This window comes from Homo sapiens, chromosome 8 (assembly GCF_000001405.40).
Source record: "Homo sapiens chromosome 8, GRCh38.p14 Primary Assembly".
In the NCBI taxonomy this organism is placed as follows: Eukaryota; Metazoa; Chordata; class Mammalia; order Primates; family Hominidae; genus Homo; species Homo sapiens.
Genome location: NC_000008.11, coordinates 27,883,933 through 27,897,901, shown reverse-complemented (window position 1 = coordinate 27,897,901; position 13,969 = coordinate 27,883,933). Strand labels below are relative to the sequence as shown.

The following is a 13,969-nucleotide window of genomic DNA, read 5'->3' as shown; positions in this document are numbered from 1 at the left end:
TGCTAACTGAAGGCAGGAACCAGGGCCAAAGCCTGGGAAGAACTGCTAGTTGGAAGAAAATAAACAAGGCACTGTGGAGTTTATGTTCAGAGTTAGCAGCCAGGTGAGTGTGTGGGACTTGGGAGGCGTGGCTGCTGTGACGCCTTATCTAGTGGGGGCATTTCACACGTAAGTTGAGGTGGCCAGTTTGACTGCTGCCTAATCCCTGTTCTTATGTGTGTTGCCTGCTGTGTCTCCACTTCTCTGCGTACACAGGCAGCCGAGCCTGCGGTGCCGCCCTTCCCTCCCCACCAGGGACTGGCATCCCCAATTCTCTGGCAGACATGCAGTGGCTTTGGGGGTTTGCCCTGCAAGAAAACTGTCTTAGTAATACCCACATCAGACGAAGGTGAACACGGAATCATCTATGAAAACCAGTGAAAGAAATGACGCTGGGATCTTTGATGTGGGTTTTGAACAAAGAAAAGTTTTTACGTTGAGATGTACATGAAAACCAAGAGTGGTTTGACTGTTTATTTAGAAAACATTTCAAACAAACTTGGGAATCGTCCTTAATCTCCGTGACCCCGAGCTCCCGTTATGCTGGGAGTGGATGCAGCTGTGGGCTCTGCGGATTGAGTCCGGGAGGTCCCCGGGAGCCTTTGATGTCACTGGATCAACTCTCACTGCCACTACATGAACTTCACAGCCCTAAGTACCCTCTGTCCTTTGACATGGAAGCCACCCTTGGAGGGTGTTTGGGGCCAGCTATCTAGTTGGACTTACTTCCCCTGGGGCTGGATTTCAGCCTCTTCTTTTTCTTTTTTTTTTGAGACCGAGTCTCACTCTGTCGCCCAGCCTGGAGTGCAGTGGCACAATCTCTGCTCACTGCAACCTCCTGCTCCTGGGTTCAAGCGATTCTCCTGCTTCAGCCTCCTAAGTAGCTGGGATTACAGGTGCACACCACCACACCCAGCTAATTTTTGTACTTTTAGTAGAGGCAGGGTTTCACCATGTTGGTCAGGCTGGTCTCGAACTCCTGACCTCAAGATCCACCCGCCTCAGCCTCCCAAAGTGTTTGGATTACCGGCGTGAGCCACTGCGCCCAGCCTCAGCCTCTTTTCTTTAGGGAGCCGTTTGTTGAATTCAGATGGAAGAAAGAGACAGACGAAGCCATAGTAAACCTCCCTGGGAGGTCTTGGGGCCATGGTGGCAGGAGGGGGTATATGGCTGTCTTTCTCGCTGACTCAGAGGTTTGAAAAGTCACTTGTCATGGTGCCTGGGTCCCCCACCATGATCCTCAGGGGTTGTATTGAGTTCAACACTATTGAGAGGCAACCACCCCGGTCACTGAGCTCCTGCATGTTTCAGAATAACTCTGGGGTATGTCGTCATCCCATCTAACTGAGGAGGGAACCATGCTGAGAGTTTACACTCCTCACCCAAGGTCCTAGAGTTAGAGAGGGGTAAACCTGGTTCTCAAGACAGTCCTGACCTTTGAGGATTTATGGTGCAGAGGTGGAGAAGCATCACGGAAAGGGGACTCAGACCTAGAACATAGAGGAGGAGGAGAACTGGGATAGGAACTAGGGCAAGGAGGGGATGGCAGAACCCTCCCAGGAAGGTCCACTAGCCCTGGGCACATGAACCTGAGCCTTCAAGAAGGGTGCCTTACGGATGTCAGCACCTCCCCACAGGGTGTACAGCAAGGAGGGCTGCAGGCCTGATGAAACAGGCACATAGCATCACTGTCTTCTCCTGGCTCTCCAGCATTTCTTTCTGGTTTTAAATGCTTGTTGACTCTGACCTCTCACTGCCCTCTGAGAGGTTCAGGAGCTTAAGAAAGAACAGGATTCACTTGTCCACCCAGGCCACCCAGGAAATTCCTACAAATCCAGCTCTAAGCAGAGCTTCTGGGCCTTAACAGCATCCTCCCACTGTGATGGGGTGAGCTCCTGGTTCAGGACTGGGCAAGGAAAGCGCTTCGTTTATTATTTGATCAGACACACTTTTTATTGAACACCGGGTAGCCAGGAATAGCAAGATCAGAGCAAACTTCCAGTTTCCAGAGAATATGAAGCACGGCTGGGGAGACAAAGAGGGGAAGTCACAGTTTTTAAAAGTCCAGTACGATCCTCAGGGCAGTGACAATGCGGGAGATAGTTCTGTTGCTCCTTCTACCCAGCAAAGTCCCAAGTACCCCGTCTGACCCCTAAGTGGAGACACAGCACTTTGGAAACCCAGGTGTGGTCCTGGCGTGGCCGCCTTATCATGTGACCTGGAGAGAGTCACTCACTCCCCTTCTCTGAGTCTCAGCTTTCTCACCTGTAAAATGGGGCTAACACCACCTACCTCAGGGGAGGACAGCAAAGACCCCATGAGAACTGCTAATAAAAGTGCTTTGAAGAGTTGTAAAGGAACGTATTAAGAGCAGATTGGCATTAGGAAATAGCATTTTACAAAGCACACCCACAGGCCAGACAACATTTTGAAAGCGATGCCCTCCAGGACAGCCTGATCAGAAAGTTCTTTTGCTTTTGGGATGGCCCCTGTCCTTCCCATATGGATCACATTTCCTGCCGAGCAGTGTCACCTCAGCCTCAGCAGAGCCCCTGTGCCTCAGGCCGGCTGGGGGCACGGGGAGTTCTTTCTTTACAAGAGAATGAAAGTTCAACTTCCTTAATGGGCAGATGGTCCGAATTATCCCTAGGGCTCTACTCTGCAGCTGCAGAAAATCAGAGCCTATATTCCCAGCCCCATGTGTTTATTTCTATTCTCCACAACCTCCTTTCTTTCCTCTTGTTTTGCTCTTTCAGGGGGACTGGAAGGCAGGGAAAACAAACATAAAGGAGCTGCAATCTTCCAGGCTTAGGGTGGGCTTTCCCTCTGCTTTTCTGTAGAGGCAAAGTTCCCTGGACTTTAGGTCCCTTCTGGTGCACAGCCAAGCAGGTTTTGGGGTATTTAGTGACCAGCTCCGTTCTCAGAGCCCCTCAAATGCTGTGAGTCCCATTCATCCATTCATTGCCCCACTCATTCATTCCACACCATCTGTTGAGCACTGGAACGTGCAGGCTCTCTGTTTGCTGCAGGGATGTGATTTGGAACCACAAGGATGCAGAATGGTGGCCCCCTTCACGCAGCTTCCCATGGGGAGTGCAGAGAGACACGGAAGAGGGAATCATGGTGCAGGATTTCTCATTAGTGGAGAGCACATGCTGGGGCCACAATCAGGGAAGCCTTCCCAGAGGAGGTGACATCTCTCTGCCTTACTCACAAGGCCCCACAACTAGGGAGTTGTGTAGCCGGGGCTTGATCCCAGATCCACATTCTCCCACAGAGCTTCTCAGCCTTGGCTGTGCACCAAAATCACCTACGAATTGTTTAAAACTGGCCCCTCACACTGGTGGGTTTCAGAGCTTCCCAGGTGCTTCCCAGATACAGTCAAGACTGGAGCTACTGCTTTCAGTCTAAGACTCATTCCCTTAAGCCTGAGAAGAGTGGATCCGGCAGACCCCATAGGGCTGTTGTGAGATGGATGAAAAGCACTTTATGTTTGGAGAGGGCTGTTATTAAATATTTGTCTTAAGCATTCAGCCTGAGAGTCGCCTCTGTGGATTGAAAATAACAAGCCTTTGCCCTTCTCTCTGACTCTTCCATGTGGCAGCTGTGTGACCCTGAGCAAATTTTTACTTGACTTTTCTGAGCCTGTTTTCTCTTCTGTTAAATGAGCTGTAATAACTAACTCATGGAGCTCCTCTGAAGAAGAAATGAGCAAATGCACGCACAAAGCACTTTGCACAGTGCCCAGCCTGTGCACGACGGGACCTCAGTAGATAATCATTCTCTCCTCTTTTTATGCCTGACTTGAGCTCTGTCCTGGGTAGTACCCAGAACTTGGCTGTGTTGTCGCTGGGTTTGGGGATGGCCCTGAGCCAGGTGTGGCCAAGCCCTGCTGGCAGTAGATAGCTCTGAGGTTACCCCAGCCTTGGAAGCCAGTTCTGAGAGATGGCAGCCACTGGCCACTACACAGTCCTCCTAAACCCGCTGGGGGCGGAGTAATAAAACCACTTGCTCAGTTGCGCTGAAAGAAGGAAAAGGCTGTTCCTCATCTCACACCCCAGTGATAGCCATGAATCCCCAAGCACACAGTGTAAAATAAGGTAGGGAATAATCAGATGCAAAACCCTGGGATGTCCAGAGATGCCAGGGCGAGTAAGTGAAACCAGATCCTGGCTTTAAAATCCTGTAATGCATTCCCCAGAGATGCTGTCGGGTTCCCTTCCATTCCCAGAGGCAGGATGAGCAGCTGTCTGGTGTGCTACAGAGAGGAGAGGATCTGTGTGTTTGAAGTAGAGGGGAGGGGTTCAAGGCCAATGTCCGAGACCCCTTCCAGCTCCAGGGTTCAGGGGCATCTGGGGTAAGACTCAGCCTGCTTTGCCTGGGACCTTGCTTGTCTGACATATATATTTACAAAACAAAGAGAGCAAAGAAATGTTTGTTTTGAGAGGAGAATCCCCACATAGTAGATTTCTAAGGTCTGCACTAGGAGCTCAAGCGTGGTCGCAGCCCTAGCATTGCATTCCTGGGCCATTCCAGAGCTGCCTTGCTTAACAAATAACATCCAGTTTGCATCAATGTACAGAAAGTTGCTGACAGCAGGAGCCGGTCTTCTGCCTCACGGATGCCCTGGTCCTAATATGCTAAGGAGCCAGGAACCAAGCCCTGGGGAGAACAGAAGTTAGGAGGAGACTCATTCAATTCAGGGGATGAGCCTTTTTGTTCCTGCTTCCTACGAGTGCAAAAAGGCTTTCAAGGATACATCCCTGCTTGGCCACTGGTGTCCAAGCCATCCCAAGCATGGGGACCCTTGGAGCTGACCCACACGCTGCTGGGAGGACTGCCACCTGACCAGGGGTGGGAGCTCACAATGATGAGACCTCACGTTAGGTGCCAAGTCCTTGACATGCCCTGTTGCTCCCAGCCGCCACCATGATGTCCACTTTAAGAAGAGGTGAGAGGCTGGGTGCGGTGGCTCACGCCTGTAATCCCAGCACTTTGGGAGGCCCAGGCAGGCGGATCACGAGGTCAGGAGATCGAGACCATCCTGTCTAACACGGTGAAACCCCATCTCTACTAAAAAATACAAAAAATTAGCCGGTCGTGGTGGCGGGCGCCTGTGGTCCCAGCTACTCGGGAGGCTGAGGCAGAATAGCGTGAACCCCGGAGGCGGGGCTTGAGTGAGCCAAGATCGCACCACTGCACTCCAGCCTGGGCAACAGAGCTTGACTCCGTCTCAAAAAAAAAAAAAAAAAAAAAGGGTGAGGTATGGAGAGGTCACTTCTGGCCTATGGTGGAGTCAGATTCCAATCCTGCTCCTGAGTCCAGCTGCCTCCTTCCACCCTCCTGAGTTATCTCCCCACAGGAATCACCATGACAGTGTGTGATGCCTTGCAAATTCCTAATTTCCCCAGGACCCACAGAGGCAAGTAGCTGATCAGTTCTCAGATGGGTGCATGGGATTCACAGGTGCCCTCTTCAGGCTTTTCCAGTCCCAAGAACCAGAGACTCATCCGGGTCATTTCAAGTAATGAGGATATGCAAGGAGATTTGGGATAACCAGGACCCATAGTTCAGGTGGGCCTTGTGGATCCTGGCATGAGAAGGTCACTCGGAATCCAAGGCCGTTCTGGGGGCCACTGCCCTTTGGCTCAGCTTTTCACTGGGAGGCCTCTTCTCCAACATGGCTTATTGATTCCACCATCCCTGCCTCTCAGTCTCTTTGTGTCTGCTCAGCTCTCTCCGTATTCCCCAGTGTGAACTGCTGGGAGAGGTGGCCCTGCTAATCTTCATCAGAGAGGCTGGGACAGAACTTCTGAGTCAGGCCAATGATTCACGGTCTTTCCCACGTGGAAGGCAATGCCCATGGGCTGTGAGCATGGCACACACCCAACCAGCCTGTTGAGAGCCACGCTCTAACCACATCTGACGTCTAAGACAGACAAAGCTGGACCCTAGTTACAGTGATAAGAACAGATTGTAATCAGCGATAACTATTGCAGCAGGGAGGAGTCCAGCATGAACTGAATGCCACCTCGATGTGTACAGAGGTGACGGGTATTTTAAGGGAAAATGAGGGATTAGGGAGAGGGAAGAGTGGGGACTCAGTAGAGTCAGGGAGGTGAAAAATTACAAAAAGCAGAAAGGAGCTAGTTCATGTAAAACCCATCTGGGTTTGATAACTGGTGCTTATCACAGTGAGGCTTCTGCATCCCACGGGGGACAGGGGCCCTGTCTTCAGGTGTTGGCTGGAACATACAGGAAATTCTTTTGGTAGTCTTGCATTTTCTCAGGCAGGCACTTTAAGGGGGTCCAGATCATCCTAGGAGCGGAATCTTGAGCTATTAGAAACTATATTAGTAGGCTGGGCGCAGTGTCTCACGCCTGTAATCCCAGCACTTTGGGAGGCCGAAGCGGGCAGATCACGAGGTCAAGAGATCGAGACCATCCTGGCCAACATGGTGAGACCCTGTCTCTACTAAAAATACAAAAAGTAGCCGGGCATGGTGGTGCACACCCATAGTCCCAGCTACTCAGGAGGCTGAGGCAGGAGAATCACTTGAACTCTGGAGGTGAAGGTTGCAGTGAGCCGAGATTGTGCCACTGCACTCCAGCCTGGATGACAGAGCGAGACTCCTCCATTTAAAAAAAAAAACAAAAAAAAAACAAACCTATTGTAGTTCTGTTCACATCTATACAGACATGTCTTGTGTCTTTATAGAGGGAAGGTTGAGGTTCAGGAGAGCACCTGGCTACAGAGTCTTTGTCACTGATCCCCTCAACAACCCTGAGAGGCCCATGGGACAGTGAAGAAATGAGGAAGTCTGAAATGCCTCTCAGACTTGCGAGAGCACTTGTAGCTTGCCTGGACTGGCCCTGCCCATCCAGTCTCTGCCCTGGGCTCCCCTCACCCACCACGCTGCTTGCTTCAGACCCACACCTGCCGGGACAACCTGGAACTGCCTCGCAGCATTTTGCATCCAAAGAAGAGACAGGGTGAAATACCTCTGTGTCCCCAAGGCTAGATCGATACATGTTTAGACATCAATTAGCAAGGCGGGGATATAGAATGACCTTCAGAAGGGCAGCACAAATCGATGAAATCCAGGGTCAGGCCCCAAGTCACTGTGTGCACAGCGAGCTGTGGCCTCCGTGCTGGGGCAGCACCTTTCCCACCCCTCCCACCCTGAGCAGGTGGGATCTGTGGGTGAGAACAGCACCCATTCTGAATATGCAGGCACTGGAGGTTGAGACTGGAACCAGGGATCCGGAGGCATTCAGAAGGGGATTCCAATCATGCTTGCTCATAAAGTCACGCACACATCTACCCATTGCCCTCCACGCCATCTATTCAGCATTTAGGGCCCTCAGCCAGCCACGTGTCATGTTAAGTGTTAAGGGGCCATGGACAAACAAGACATGGTCTCTATTTCCAAGGGAAAATAGTATATGTGCTTGTAACCTTCACAGATGGAGAGCAGTGCCACCTGGTTCTAGGAGTGCCAGCCTGCCCCACCCTGGGCCCTGCTGGTTTAACCTCAAACTGTCTTCTCTCTGTATTATGGTTTGTTACTGAAAGTAGCCAGCATCAGAAAGAGAAGTGGTCTCAAAAGAGAAGGATCTGGCATCCCAGTAATGGCTGGTGACTTCTCTGTCAACTTCAGTTTCCTCATTTCTAACTGAGGGTTTTGGAGCCCCTGAGTTCTCTGCCAGCTTTGACATTCTGTGGTCTTTCTTATCTATTTTAAACTCTTAGTTCATTTGAGTGAGTCCAGGGCAAAGACAATACTTATTTATCCTTGCATCCTTAGTGCCTAGCACAATCCTGGAATGTGGTAGTAATTCCATACCTGCAAATTGATGGATAAATAAATATGCAATTGAAAAAATAAACACAGACATTGATAAAATATACATAAAGAATTAATACAGATAATGCATTTTTAGTGCTGCATATCTGTGCACGGGAAGTAGAATCACCCCGGACTTCAACAAATATTATCACTTTCCTCAAAAGCCAAGGCTGGTTTATCCTTCCCCTGCGTGCAATCGTTGACATGTTCATTTTCAAATGCAAACTCAGCAATGGCTGTGCTTCACAAAGGCAACCCTGTCTTCTTGGTTCTCCCATAAGACTCAGGAGAAACCAAGCTGTTTCTATGAATTTTAGTTAGAAGCATTGCAGTTCCAGGGTTAAAGTAATTGTTTTTCATGTAACTGCTCCATCAAAAGGCATCTTGCATCAAAGTCGTGATGCAAATTGGTGGACCATGCTCAGGGATCTTCTGAAGAAAGGATTCTGGGAAAGAAAGGAGGGTGTAGATGGAGAACTGGCCCGAGGGCTAAGTCTCAAGTTCAGGCCCCAGCTCTTCTGCTAGCTACGGGATGACTTGGGTAAGGCACGTCACCTCTCTGGGCCTCTGCTCCCACACGTGTCATGCAAAGAGTGTGGACTGTGTCATCTTCAAGTCTCTACCAGCTGGCAAATGCTATGCTTCACCATCATTTGTGATTATTGGAAAAGCCCAAAGATGATGTCATAATTACCGAAAAATCACTCCAAGCACTAAGTAATGGGACATCTGTTGCCGACAACTAAGCTAATGGAAGTTGTTCCTAGTGATATCCTGAGAAAATGCTAAGATTCCTTGTCCAGACCCATGCCTTGATCTTCTCCATGACCTGGCCTCATCTGTGCCTCAGCTGTACCCTCTTTACTGGGGAACAAGCTCAAGCTTTGAGAGATTTGGGGCCTGTAGAAGGAGGGTGGCTGAGGACCATGGGGTTGGTCCCGGTGGGGCCTGGGTGAAGGGCAGGCTCAGTACAACAGGTTGAGGAATGGGGAGGCAGGTGCTGTGGTCTGGGGCTGCAGTGAGGCAGAGAGCTCCAAGCCGAGGCTGGAATTGACACTCCAGAAAAGTTGTGGGGTGAAACAATGAGCCCCTTGATCTGGGAGACAGCAAGGAGGCTACCCAGCCAGGAGCCAGTCTCCTGCCCTGTGTTCCCTCAAACCACTTTCCTCTCCTAGGGTTACACAGTGAAACCAGGCAGGGATGCTCTGGTCTGGGCTTTGAGGTGACAGCACTTTTCTCTTTCTGCTTCTCTGTATCAAAGGGAAGAACCTTGGTCACAGGGTGTTGATGGGGCTTGTAACCAAACCGAAGTGGGATCTTCTTGCCTGGCATGGTAAAGCCAAACATCCATACTGAAGTTGTGCAGTGGGAGGAAGCATGGTGTTTATTTGCAAGGCACCAAGCAAAGAAAATCTGGTAGCTCACACTTAAGACTCAACCTCCTGGATGGCTTACAAGCAAGGCTGTTTAAAGGCAATGGTAAATTTCAGGAGAGCAGAAGTTACAGGCAAATTTCTAAATCAAGACATGGATGTTATACATTGGTTTGGCCTAAAAAGGTGGGAAATCTGGAAGCAAGGGCTTACAGGTCATACATGGCTTCAAAGACTTTCTGATTTGCAATTGGTTAAGGAAGGGAAACTTTGTCTAAAAACTTGGGTTCAGCAGAAAGGAATATTAAGGTCTGGCCTGTGGATGTGACTTCTTCCAGGTCCTCAGAGCTAGCTAGGTGCCTGGAATTTTCCTTTATTCTGTGGCACTGGAGAATAAAGAATAAACACAATCATTAGCTGGGCATGGCAGCATGCACCCTGTAGTCCCAGCTACTTGGGAGGCTGAGGCGGGAGAGAATGGCTTGAGCCTGGGGGACAGAGGTTGTAGTGAGCCGAGATCATGCCACTGCACTCCAGCCTGGGTGACAGAGCCAGACCTTGTCTCAAAAAAAAAAGTCCGTCAATCAGAGTTCAGGCCTCAGTTTCCCCTCATTTGAGGTCTATATGCCAGCAAATCCATTTGGTTCTGGGTTTCTGAAAAACATCCAGCTGGGTTTCTGAAAAACACCTCAGGGACATATGTTAAGATGTTCTCTTTAGTTTCTATAGAGAGTCATCAGAGGTTGACTCTAACTTCTTTGACTATTGCTTTAAGCTACTATTTCTTTCTTTCTTACCAAGTTGCTCATTTACTTCTTGGGGCTAGCCTAGAATTTCCCTTGAAGATACTCAAGATTTTCTTTTATTTCCATGTTTGGGGGCCTAGCAGCCCCTAAGTCCCTGCTCCATCTCGGGCTTGTGGTCCCCAGTTCTGGGGAAGCAGGGAAAAGATGAACAGAGATGAGCCCTGTGGATATCTGGGTGTCTCTGCTATGGGGGGCAGGGGTGGGCATTACAAGAAAAAGCTCTGCCAAAGCCTTGTGGGATGGGGATTGGAATAAGCTGTCAAGAACAGCCTCTCCTTGTTTTTAGTAAGGAATAGCTCTTGGTGTTTCCCTTCAGCTTGGGTTTTCCAGCCAAGTGATGCTATGTGCCGGTGCCATTCCTGCACAGAGCTGGTAGGGACCAGCCTTGTAGCCAGTACCATCCTCTTAACTTGCAAACCATGAAGGCATGGACAGGTAGACCCCAGTCTGCAGGTTAGGGATCCAGAACAAGAGGAAAAGTGTGATAGTCTCTGCACCTAACGCCCTCACCTGAGGGGTGCAAATCAGATACCCACACGGGAGTGGTATGGGGCAGGGTTTTCTTCCGGGTTGCTGATCCTCATTTGCTCAGGAAGGGTTTTCCAGGGCTCAATGTGGTATGATGCCAAGGAGGAGGTGAAGGTGCCTCGCAGTCATTGAAGGGCAGTTACTAGGGGACGTGGCTGCAACCTCGAAAGCCTGGGGTCCCATTGCTCATCACCAGCTCTCTTGCCCTTTGCCCTCTACCTGGAGCATCTGCTCTTGCTTTGGAGCCTAGGAGTCTCTGAATTTCACACAATCAAGAATCCCTGTCTCCCATTTTCCTCCACTGCCACGTGCAGAGAGAGGCATCTCCCTGACTCCAGTAGCCCCGTTCCCCCTGCAGGGACCCTCCTGGGGGGCATCTGAGGAAAAAACTCCCTGGACTGACAGGAAGAGTCTTGGGGAAGTCACGGACCAGGCTGAGGCTGCCTCTCAGTCACCACTTCTGATTAAGTCGGGGCTGACACATTGTGGGGCAAGAGCATTTCCCAGTGGTGGTTGGTGGCTTGGTGGGAAAGCTTTGACCTGGGGCAGAAACTGCCGGGAAAAAGCAGCATTTAAACCCTCTGCCCACAGAAACCCAAACCTCTTAAATGATGACGTCCTTCTCAGGCTAGAGGGTAGTCACTGTTGGAGGGCGTTGGTGATTCCCCAAGTGTGTTGCTGGAGGTGGCCTCATTGCTCAGCTCTGGGAAAGGCTCCTGCCTGCCTGCCTCCCCTATACCTCTTCAGGGGTAAAGGAGGCCAGAGACACAAGTTTCTGAATTTAGACTCTGAGTTCCTGAATCAGGGCAGCCTACATCATAAGCAAGTCAGACCTCAGCCTGTGGTTTCCCAGAGAGGTGGTAACAGAGCTGAGATTTTGTTGGGTGGGGAGAAAAGGATGCAAAATCCACAGCTTAGGGCCATGCTCTGTGAAGTGGAGCTACAACAAAATGTGGCCTCTGATTTGGGTGAGTCCAGGGGAGAAGGTGTGGCTTTCAGATTTGTGTTGACCCTGCTGGGGCAGGCAGCATCTGTTGACCCTGTGGGCAGGCGGCCCTCCACCATGGGGGGAAGCCCTGAGTCTAGGGGATCTGGGGACAGGTGGTGAGGAACAGGCCTCCATGCTTAATGAACCGACACTGGGGTCTGGGTGGAGTGGTGCCTTGTGCAGCCTCGCCCAGGTGCTCTCTAGTTCTTTTTCTCCCTTGAGGGCACTTTTCAGTTCCTGAGATCAATGTGGTCCCTACTGGGGAGACCATAGGAGCCCTGCAGGCCATGACTTTGCTCAATGCATGGTAAGCATGGGCCATGGGCCAGAGACATCCTTGAAATTGATGCTTTGCATCCCGTGATTATGGTTATCATATGTTTTCAATTTTTTGAAGGTGTCTTGTTTCCAAATATTCTTCTATCACTTCTATATACATTGAAACCTCTTGGGAATTTCAGTATTTCAGCATCCAAATGACATTTTCCAGACTTCCCATTGCACCCACCATGATCATCTGACAGCCATGTCCCCATTCTCTCACTTGAGATGTACGGTCATTGTAACAGCCTGAGCTCTGGGTCCAGAATCCAGAGTCATCTCAAGTAGAGAAGGCAGCAAGTATGTGATTAGAAGTGTTGTGATGTAATAAAGAGGATGCTGGAGATTTGGGGCCCTGATGTTGGATTCTCCATTCAGGTTGCCACCAAAGCCCTGGACTCTGGGGAGCCATGCCCTCCAGCCAGCACCTGCCCATCTGGGTCCATATTAATGAGTCCCTCCATTCATGCATGCCTTCCCTTTGCACAGGCTGGGTATCTCAGTGCACCGGGCCCTGTACCAGGTCACGTGATCCTCAGAAGGCTCACAGTGTCCTAAGAGAGTAAATAGCAATAGCAATTATGACACAAAGCTATAAGCATGTACCTAGAAGGGGCCCTGTTGGGTGTGGGGACCAGGGAAGGAGAAGAGGCATCTAAGCTGAGATCTAAAAGACAAGGAAAGCTTAGGCCAGAGTACAGAAAGGAGTTTTCTGAGGTGGGGGAGTCCACGTCCTTCCTCAGCTCATTCAGGTCTCCACTCAAGGCCTTCCTTCTCTACTCGTCCAAAATGGCACCTGCTCTCACTCCCCACCCTCTTCCTTGTTCACTTGTCCAAGACAGTACCTGCCCTCTCATTCCCTCCCTTGTCCACCTGTCCAAGATGGTGCCTGCCCTCTCTCTCATTTCCTTCCTTGTCCACTCGGCCAAGATGGTGTCTGCCCTCTCTCTCATTTCCTTCCTTGTCCACCCGGCCAAGATGGTGCCTGCCCTGTCTCTCATTTCCTCCCTCCTCCACTTGTCCAAGATGGCGCCTGCCCTCACTCTCCACTCCTTTGTTCACTTGCCCACAATAGTGCCTGCCTCACTCTGTACTCCCTGTGCTTCTGTTCCCATCTATGCTCTTATCACCGCTTGGCTATAATTATGGTTTTGTTTTTGTTGACTAGCTGTATTGCTAGACTCTCCCTAGAATGTCAGCTCCATGAGGGCAGGGACTCTGTTTGTGGGTGTATCCACAGCTGTCTGATAGACTCTCAGTCACTTACTTGGCTAAACGAGTAGGTGCACAAAGTGAGTTCAGGCTGGCCAGAACAGAGAGGCTAAGTCAGGGAGTCTCCGACCGTCTACCTTGGCTGCCTAGTCACACCCAGTCACACTCTTCCTGTTGTTTTGACCCCACACCTGACTTCTGCCTGGCCTGCTCTGTGACTCACAGCACCCTCCTGCCACTTCTTGCCCTACTTGCTGACCCCACACTGTGGCTTCTGTTGCAGGCCTCCTGGTGCAGCCAGAGGTGAGGCAGGTCTGTGAGAAACCAGGGCTGACAGCCTGGCCTCAGCCAACCCAGGGCCAAGGCCCCGCGCAGCGGCCGGGTCCCTCTTGGTGCTGCTGGCTGCAGGTTAGCCTGTCCTTACTGCTCCCGGGGAGTTTCTTGGTGTCAGACCCAGCCTCTGAATTCCAGCTCTTCTCCATGTTTTTCTTCTCCAGGATCTCTCTGTTGTCTTGCATAGCCTCAGCCTGTTTGGGGACAGCCTGAATGAGTTTGTATTTGCAGTCTGTGTGGGGAGAACGGTCACCTGGCCAGGGATGAAGGATCCGCAGCAAATACATCCAATATCGAGAGGAGGCATCCCTGGTGCTCTCGCTGTAGTCTTTAGCATCATTCCTGGGGTTGGGGTCGCTTCCTGGTGGCTTCCTCGGTTCCTCTGCAGAATTTTCTGGGGTTTTCTTGGCCCAGGCATGTGGCCAGTTCTGAGTTCTCTCCTTTCTCATGGGGCACAGATGTCAATTCTGCCATCTCCTTCGGGACCTATGAAAGTCTTTGCCAAGTCACAGTCATTAA

The 13,969-nt window shown here is 50.7% G+C and overlaps 1 protein-coding gene and 1 non-coding gene across 4 annotated transcripts in view, besides 2 other annotated features; both read left to right on the top strand.

Moving 5' to 3' along the window:
• Positions 1-13,969, top strand: part of SCARA5 (scavenger receptor class A member 5) — a 122,791-nt gene that overhangs the window by 94,772 nt on the left and 14,050 nt on the right. The window lies entirely within an intron of this gene.
• Positions 2,068-2,979: an enhancer, noted in NCBI's record as "VISTA enhancer hs1741". NCBI's record gives its function as "enhancer in: hindbrain (rhombencephalon)[4/6] | limb[6/6] | eye[5/6] | nose[5/6] | facial mesenchyme[5/6]" and the evidence as "EXISTENCE:transgenic organism evidence [ECO:0001131][PMID:17130149]".
• Positions 4,492-5,078: an enhancer, noted in NCBI's record as "H3K4me1 hESC enhancer chr8:27750341-27750927 (GRCh37/hg19 assembly coordinates)". NCBI's record gives its function as "activates a minimal SCP1, AML or CMV promoter by ChIP-STARR-seq in naive and primed H9 embryonic stem cells {active_cell/tissue: H9 hESC(naive and primed)}" and the evidence as "EXISTENCE:reporter gene assay evidence [ECO:0000049][PMID:30033119]".
• On the top strand, positions 11,786-11,863 carry MIR4287 (microRNA 4287). Its single transcript, NR_036249.1, has one exon. It is a non-coding gene; the product is annotated as a microRNA 4287 (primary transcript).